Source organism: Homo sapiens, chromosome 15 (assembly GCF_000001405.40).
Source record: "Homo sapiens chromosome 15, GRCh38.p14 Primary Assembly".
Taxonomy (NCBI): domain Eukaryota; kingdom Metazoa; phylum Chordata; class Mammalia; order Primates; family Hominidae; genus Homo; species Homo sapiens.
Window position 1 is genome coordinate 101,717,882 of NC_000015.10, and position 8,747 is coordinate 101,726,628.

The following is an 8,747-nucleotide window of genomic DNA, read 5'->3' on the forward strand; positions in this document are numbered from 1 at the left end:
GAAATAAGGACCTGGAAGTAAAAATCCAAAACAAGTGGCACTGGCTTAACAGACTGGCAGTGAGTAACAAGGAAACAGATTCTAACATATGGAGAGCCAATAACCTTTGTGATAGTATATCAAAATATTTGATAAAACTTGCAGGCAAACCATGTGTCACAGTGCTTGTAGCACACAAGAAAGCAGGTATAAAAGGGGAGAGTAGGGCTGGGCGTGGTGGCTTACATCTGTAATCCCAACATTTTGGGAGGCTGCTGTGGGCAGACCACCTGAGGTTGGAAGTTCGAGACCAGCCTGACTAACATGGAGAAACGCCATCCTTACTAAAAATACAAAATTAGCTGGGTGTGGTGGCGCATGCCTGTAATCTCAACTACTCGGGAGGCTGAGGCAGGAGAATCGCTTGAAACCGGAGGGCGGAGGTTGTGGTGAGCCAAGATCGAGAAAAGGGGCGGGGTGGAGGTGGGGGGACAGTGTTGGTATACCCTGGGTAACTCTTGTTGCTTTCAGCAAGAAGCTACAAGAATGAGTTATCTCAGATGAAAACAATCTAGTTTGCCAGCAGAGGTGGAAGGGATAGGGAGGCTCCCTCTGCCCGTGTCCTGTAATTCAACTGACTAAAAGTTCAGAAACGTGGAGCTATGCAAGATGGGAAAGACAATCTTCTTTCCCAAACCGCAGGAGGGACAGGCATTGATAGCCCTTCTCAAAGGCCACACATAAATCCAGACAATAGAGGCCAGTGGAACTGCAAGGATTAGAGAGCAAGAGTGCCTCCCTCCCACAAGCCTCTGCTTCATATGATCTCAGTCCATTAAACAAGGAGACAGGAGTGAGCCGAATAAAAAAGCCATGCAACAACAGGGTGAGAAGTCTCTATCTAGAAGATTCTTTAAGTGAGATTACTTTCATGTGGAACGGATTAGCTGCAAACAGACCAGAGCCTACTATGGCTAACTGATCATGGTAATTGTATTGCCAAACAAATCATAAGCTCAGCTCACAAATATCTGTGACTATGTGATCCTTAAGGGAACCCTCAGGCCCCAAATGTGCACCACAGAACTGAGCTGTGGAAACTGCACAGATCCCAAGAGGACAAACTCGTGCACTTCAGATGTGACAAGTGAGGGTAATGGACAACTCCGAACTTCCCAAAGTGCAAAATCAGGGCCCATGGAGGATCATGGGATAAGACAGCTGCTTCCAGAGAACAAAGGATGAACAGGTGGGCTGACACAAGCACTAACTGCTGCCAGGCTGTGGGGCCTCAAGGTGGCTTCAAGCAGAATCTGATGACTTCTCTATACCACTCCCTGCTATATTTCTCCTCCTTCTTTTTTCCAAGCACACACTTTGTGATTGTCTTCTGTGTACTGTATGCACGTGTGGTGTGAGCAGACTTGTCTATCAGTTTATTTGTTGCTAGAATACAAGTGGTCAGCCTGATGGGGGGTGTTCTGTACATCACTCAGAAATCCCAGGCTTTGAGCTATGGAACATAAGAGTTGTCTCACTTGGGGAGTGAGTGTGTCAGATGTTGAAAGAAGAGTACCCACAGATATCTGGATGTCAGAGGGGCAGACTGTGGCAGACTCTCTGTTGTTCCATAAACCATTCCTCTCTTCCATGGTATGAATGCTTTAGCTGGACATGTGGCTGGGCGGCCAAGGGAGCTATATTCCAATTCTCTCTTACAGCTAGGCATAGCCATGTGACTAAATGTGAGCTAAGAGGATGTAAGTGGAAACTGAAGCCAGCCACTATGGGGTCTTGGCCTCAAAGCATCATTGCTCTGCAGCTTCTCTTCCTCCTGACTGCAGGCAGGCCCATGCAAGGACCCAGCTTCCACCGCTAGACACAAAGAAACCCTACCTAGGAGACAGCAGATCAACAAGATGGGAGGAAGCTGGGTCCATAAATAACTGCATGGACCAGAGATGTCCACTAGGCTTGACTGGTCACTTCTAGACGGTTAGCTTGCATTAGAAGCCCCTGGAGAGCTCATAAAAACACTGATGGCTGATCAATTCAGGGGGTTTGAGGTGGGATCCCCAAATTTGCTTTTCTAACAAGTTTCCAGGTGATGCCCATGCTGCTGGTCTGGGGACTACACTTTGAGAAATACTGACCCAACACATTTAACATGCAACCTGACTCTCCATGAGAAAACAAACTTATTCTTGCCTCAAAACCTGTTTTCTCCTAGCACATCATTCCTCCTGGAAAACATGAAAACAGGCTGGGAGAGCATTTAACAATATAATAGGATGAATCAGAAATACAATCTTAGCCATAGTTTTCAAAGAAAATCTGAGAATTTCAGTTGTTGAAACAGTTTGCTTTTTAAATGATGAACATTTATTTACATGGCATTAATACAATTGTATAGAAGCTATATAATTGTATTTATACAATAGCTTCTATACAATTGTATTTAATGCTAAGAATTAACATGAGTCAAAACAATATAAGTTCACTAATGTATCTAATTTCTAGAAAAGTCAAAGCACTTTTCCAAGACTGATAATAGCTCTAAAACATTTATCTTCAATCTATACTTAAAAGACCTGTAAAAACTCATGGAAATTACTTGATTGACGAATAAAGTCAGTGTAAAATGGCCTATCAAGAATTACAGATTTTTTTCTCTCCTATATATTTTTATTAGAACAGGAAATGATTGTGTTCTGATATTCAACTACTTATTTACATGGCCCTTGGAGAAGCCAGAGGAAAAAAATTAAATACATTTAATTTATTCAACTGAATAAAAAAAAAATTAGCTGATATGGTTTGGCTGTGTGCCCATCCAAACCTCATCTTGAACTCTAGTTCCCATAATCCCCACGTTTTGTGGAAGGGACCCAGTGGGAGGTAACTGAATCACAGGGGCTGTTACCTCCATGCTGTTCTTTGATAGTGAGTGCATTCTCATGAGATCTGATGGTTTTATAAGGGGTTTTCCCCCCACTTTGCTCTGCACTTCTCCTTGCCGCTGCCATGTGAAGAAGGACATGCTTGCTTCCCCTTCTGCCACGACTGTAAGTTTCCTGAAGCCTCCCCAGCCCTGCGGAACTGTGAGTCAATTAAATCTTCTTCCTTTATAAATAACCCAGTCTCAGACATGTCCTTTTAGTATCGTGAGAATGGAGTAATATATTAGCGGTCCCTAAGAAAACATTTTCACCAGGCTTCAGTATAATTACTTAAGATTGAATATCTTTTCCACACTGCGGTTTACCTAATTTCAGCAGCCACTTGGTAAGGCGTTGTTTTCCAGACTTCCCCTTGCACTGTTTGCCCATCAGCCACTCTTACTGTGATGATGTTGCTTGTATCCCCCTTTTTTCCATAAATGGCAAGTAAGAGCTGATGGTCTTTCTTCAGTATTTCAAAAAGCTTCAATCTTTCTTTTATGAAAATTGGTTGATGCTTCACCTGGAAATTATTAGAACATAATGAGATTAATATATACAGCCTACTGTTTTCCAGCTGCTCAGCTCTGAATCAGGCTCACCCCCTTACTGCCTTCTCAGTTCTACAGATGGTCCCAAGCTTACCATGGTTTGAATTACGATTTTGTTGTTGTTGTTGTTTTTTGGTTTGTTGTTGTTGTTGCTGTTGTTTTGAGATGGAGTCTTGCTTTGTCGCCCAGGCTGGAGTGCAGGGGCACGAAATCAGCTCACTGCAGCCTCTGTCTCCTAGGTTCAAGCGATTTTCCTGCCTCGGCCACCCGAGTAGCTGGGATTACAGGCACGCACCACCCTGCCAGACTAATTTTTGTATTTGTAGTAGAGATGGGGTTTCGCCATGTTGGCCAGGCTGGTCTCGAACTCCTGACCTCAAATGATTTACCTGCCTTGGCCTCCCAAAATGCTGGGATTACAGGCGTGAGTCACCGTATCCAGCCGCAATTTTTCAACTTTAGTGATGTGAAAGTCATATGCATTCAGTAGAAACTGTACTTTGAGTATCCATACAACCATTGTGTTTTTCACTCAGTACAGTATTCAATAAATTACATGAGATATTCAACACTTCATAATAAAATAGGCTTTATGTTAGAGGATTTTGCCCAACTGTAAGCTAATCTAAGTGTTCTGAGCACTTTTAATGTAGGCTAGGCTAAACTACGATGATCACTAGCTTACGTGTATTAAATACATTTTTAACTCACATTGGTTTTATTGGGACATAACCCAACTGTAAGACTAAGAGCATGTGTACTTCCCACCTCCAAAAGGCTCCTCTCTGCCTATCTAACTTCTCCTTAGCTCTAAAGGTCCACCTCAAAGCCTGCCTCCTCTACCTATTTTACCCGCTGGCATCTCCCTTTTTTTTTTTTTTTTCCTTTGAGACAGCCCCACGCCCAGCCCCCATGACACCTCCCTTTTCTACTGTTTACAGAACGTGTACAGAGTCACACATTACAGCACTTACTTGTATACCATCGTACTCTGTTCTCTAGTTGTTTGTCCTGAGTCTGCCTGAATTCCTCAACCAGACTAACTTCTTTGGGCCTAGGTATTCCTTCTTCACTCCTACCAAATGTTGATGCTAGATAAATACTTACTGATTGTTTTAATGCTTTATATACAAAAGCAAAGTAGCTAGTTTCTCGAATACAAAAAAAAAAAAAAGACCGGGGGCGGTGGCTCACGCCTGTAATCCCAGCACTTTGGGAAGCCAAGGTGGGCGGATCATGAGGTCAGGAGATCGAGATCCTCCTGGCTAACACGGTGAAACCCCATCTCTACTAAAAAAAAAAAAAAAAAAAAAAAAAAATTAGCCGGGCTTGGTGGCATGCACCTGTAGTCCCAGCTACTCAGGAGGCTGAGGCAGGAGAATCGCTTGAACCTGGGAGGTGGAGGCTGCAGTAACCGAGATCATGCCATTGCACTCTAGCCTGGGCAACAAGAGCAAACCTCCGCCTTCAAAAAACAAAAAAAAACCAACCAAACAAAAAAAACCAACTCTAGTACTCTAGTAGCACAACTTAAATAGATTAAATACACGTGTTTATTAAACATGGGCAGCTCATTTCTCAAGACATCTCATATTTAAGGCTTGAAAAGTTTTAAATACACTAATGTGACCCAAATAATAATTTAATCAGTAATTTTTATTGGAAATCCTAGGTAATTAACTATATACACATATTTAAAATTACAGGTAGTATTTTATATTGTTTCCACAGCAACAACTTACCTCGCTGTCAGCCTCGCTTTCCTTCATTTTCTTCTTTTTCATGTCCTTGTCTTGGCTTTGACTAGGAGGAGGCTGAAAGATAAATTATAAATGACTCACATCAATGGCAAGAAAAAGCAACACATTTTAAGAAGAGAGTCATGCCAGCAGGCTGCAAGTGCCCCGTGTTTAGAGGCTCATAGCTGGGCTCTCCTGACCACCAGCTACAGCTCTCAGTGGGCAAGTCATTCTCCAGGGTTCAGTCCTTCCTGTCACACTGTTGCTAAGCACATTTAATATATTGTGCTCTTGAAAACCTTTTGTCCTGAACTTTAAACAAATAATGTGGCTGGAAAATGTGTGGTTGCTGCCCGCCACATCAAATGCACTATTTCCTGAAGATGTTGCTAGTTCACCGCAGCTGTCCTTCCTAAAGGACTGCAGAACATCTCAGCCTGAGAAGCTTCAGGACTCAGAAAGTATGATGTTAAAAGAAGATAATTTATCCTTTCTACAAATCATAAAATACTGTATTAAATAAAAATGTTAAATATACAGCTATCCTCTCAAGATGAACCACCAAAACAAGAGCACAAAAAGCGAAAACTTCTCGTCCAAAAAAAACCCAACAACAAAAAAGAACCAGAGGGAATGAGAGTTTACATACGCAGCTGTTAGTCTTTCTGACCAAGGAAAGAATGAGTTTTAAACACTCCAGCATTTTTTCAAACAAATGAAAACACTATTTCTGCTACTGAAAAAGATGCGTGGCAGGCTCTTTAATGGACGAATTGAGAAATCAACAGCATTTGGTTAAGTCTGGCGACTGCTGGAAATCCGGCGGCTCCCCAGGCCACACGGGACCACCGAGCAGGGCAGGGCGGGCCAGCCGCAGGGCACTGGGAGGGCACTCCCCCGGGGCGCCCCCGCACCTGCCCCCGCAGTTGAAAACCTTTCGGTGCGCACCGTCTCGGCCCGCCCCGCCCGCGTCCTCTCCAGTGTCCCCACCGCCCGGTTACCTGTGCGCCGGCCTCCTGCGCCGCCTCTAGCTCCGCGCTCTCCAGCGTGGCCTGGCGGCTCCGCTCCTCGGCGAGGCACAGCCGCAGGCTGCACAGGCGGTGGCGCAGGTCGCAGTTCTCGGCCCGGAGCTGCGCCACCTCCCGCGTGAGGCACGGCCCCTCCGCCTGGCAGCTGTAGGGCGCGTTCAGCTGCTCGTCCCTCAGGCGCTCGACCTCCGACCACAGCCAGCGGATGTCCTCCTCCTGCCGCTCCAGGCGCGACGCCACGGCCTCCGCCGCCAGGGCCTCGGCCGCCATCGCGGCCTCCCTCAGGCACCGACGCCGAGCGGGGTGCCCGCGACTGCGGCGAGGGCGACGCGGACACTCAGCGCACGGCAGAAGACAGGGCTCCCGGGAGGGGCGGGGCGATGGGGCGGGGACGGAGCCATGGGGCCTCGTTGGAGCCGAGGCCTACACGTTGCAGGGGCGGGGCGCTGGGCGGGGAGGGGCGGGGCCTAGGCCAGATACCCTGCAGGGGCGGGGCGGGGCGGGGCGGGGCCTGAGGCCAGATACCCTGCAGGGGCGGGGCGGGGCGGGGCCTGAGGCCAGGCCCACCTTAGGGTCACGGGCAGTGGGGAAATGGGGTCTGAAGGGCCTCCCCTGCCTTTCGAGGCCTGTCTAGAGGCTATTGGCAGTAGTTTTTAGTCCGTTGAAACGAAAATCTTCCAAAACCTTGCAAAAAGGCCATCGTCTGCGTTCTCCAAAAAGGCTTCACCCTTTCTTCCTCTTGAATTCTGGCAGTCACCATTCTTTTGCCTTGCAAACAGGTTCTAAAAAGTGGCCATTCATTATAAATGGACTTTCTGGCCTTTCGTGCCAAACTTGCCCAAGTACTGAGGCCTCTGGGCCAGGGCATATAGAAAATCGCTGTGAAATCTAAATCCGACCAGCACGAAATTACTGGCTCCTTGAGTCTAGGGCAAATGCCACATATATCTTTGTATCCCTCTTAACCATGAGCGTGAAACTTCCTGGAGCAGGAACAGAAATTGATTTTTATCACTATTCTTAGGGCTTAGGATGTGACAAACACTGTTCTAAACTCTGTAACAGTAGTAACTCCTTTAATCTTCATAACAGGAGATACTGTTATATCCGCTTATAGCTGGAGAAATTGAAGCACAGTGAGACTGTGTTACTTGACTAAGGTCACACAGCCACTACATGACAAAGGGGGAATCAAACTCAGATAGTCTGATGCCAGTTTCTACACACTTAACACTAGTACTTTTCAACTTTGGCAGAATTTAATTGAGCATGTCATATAATGTGATACAGGTAATAATGCCCTTATAAGAGTCCTGAAGTGGAAGAGCTTAGCTTGGACTGGTGTGGTTTGAGAAAGGGAGAAAATTTTGAGAAAGGGGAAAAGGTTTATTTTGCTCTGGAAAATAAAGGTTGGGAGATGTTAGCAAGGAGGAAAAGCAGGTAAATTCCACTCCAGGAGCAGAATCAGTGCAGGAGAAGGAGCGGAGGGGGACAAGCTCATTGGATTAAGCTAAGTGGAATCCCAAACAGCACCCAGGAGGAGATTCCATGAAGTATGTTGCTAACCAATATCACTGTATCTTTTTTAGTCCTTCCTCAGGAAGCCTCTGGATACAGTTACATAGGACCCACTGACTCCTCATTATTCATCATTTCTCAATCCACTGCCATGGAGTTTCTGCTTCTGCCATTCTGTCATGACCAACACATCACTGAATGTCATGGACCCACTTAAGCCACCCCAGAATTTCCTCGGGACCCTCTGGAATTTGTCTCTCTTGGGTCTCCATTCCCAATACCTAGGCAACCACCAGTCTGCTTCCTGTCACTATAGGTTAGTTTGCATTTTCTTGATTTTTCTACACATGGAACCACACCGTATGTCCTCCTTTTGTTTAGCTACTTTCAGTCGGCACAATAATTTTGATATTTACCTATGTTTGTGTGTATCTATTGTTCTTTTTTTCTGAGTAGTATTCCATTGTATGGATATACCATAATTTGTTTATTCATTTGTTGATGGAAAATTTGGGTTATTTCCAGGTTTTAGCTAGGATCACACAATACCCAGTGAGCCCATTGGGTTTCCAAACTCACACTGTAGTTATTTCGTCAGTTCCAGAATGCAGAGTTTGAATAGATATACTCCAAACTGGCAGAATCCCTACAGTGTTTCCCTGACCCTCGGACATAAGGCTATTATTCTGGTAGGAAAGGCCAAGCAGAAACCACTAGAACTTTATCAACATACAAAAATAATAAATCAAAAGTAATACTGCATTCCTGAAGGAATTGCACAGATTACTGTTGCCTTCAAGAACTTGAAAGATGCAGGGGTGGAGATTCTCATCACACCCCATTTACCTTACCTTACCATCCCATTTACATTTAGCCTATGTAGAAGACAAATGGATGTTAGAGAATTATAGTAGATTAATATAAATTTAATTAGATGGTGATTCCAGTTGCAGCTGCTCTTCCAGATATGATTTCATTGTTGGAGTAAATCAG

The 8,747-nt window shown here is 45.2% G+C and overlaps 1 protein-coding gene across 6 annotated transcripts in view, besides 1 other annotated feature; it reads right to left on the bottom strand.

Moving 5' to 3' along the window:
* Positions 1–6,592, bottom strand: part of TARS3 (threonyl-tRNA synthetase 3) — a 70,878-nt gene extending 64,286 nt beyond the window's left edge. For 5 of the 6 annotated variants that reach the window (XR_007064422.1, XR_931749.4, NM_152334.3 and 2 more), the window contains exons 1-3: positions 6,210–6,592; positions 5,212–5,283; positions 3,245–3,441 (exon numbers count right to left, since the gene is read on the bottom strand). Coding sequence is in view for 3 of the 6 variants with exons in the window: in NM_152334.3 (NP_689547.2) it covers positions 3,245–3,441; positions 5,212–5,283; positions 6,210–6,506 (566 nt within the window). In the remaining 3 variants the exon portion in view is untranslated. Of the gene's footprint in view, positions 1–3,244; positions 3,442–5,211; positions 5,284–6,209 lie in introns of those variants that run through there. The other variant, XM_047432142.1, reaches the window with a different exon arrangement.
* Positions 5,988–6,877: a silencer, noted in NCBI's record as "silent region_6894". NCBI's record gives its function as "represses an Ori minimal core promoter by ATAC-STARR-seq in GM12878 lymphoblastoid cells {active_cell/tissue: GM12878}" and the evidence as "EXISTENCE:reporter gene assay evidence [ECO:0000049][PMID:35858748]".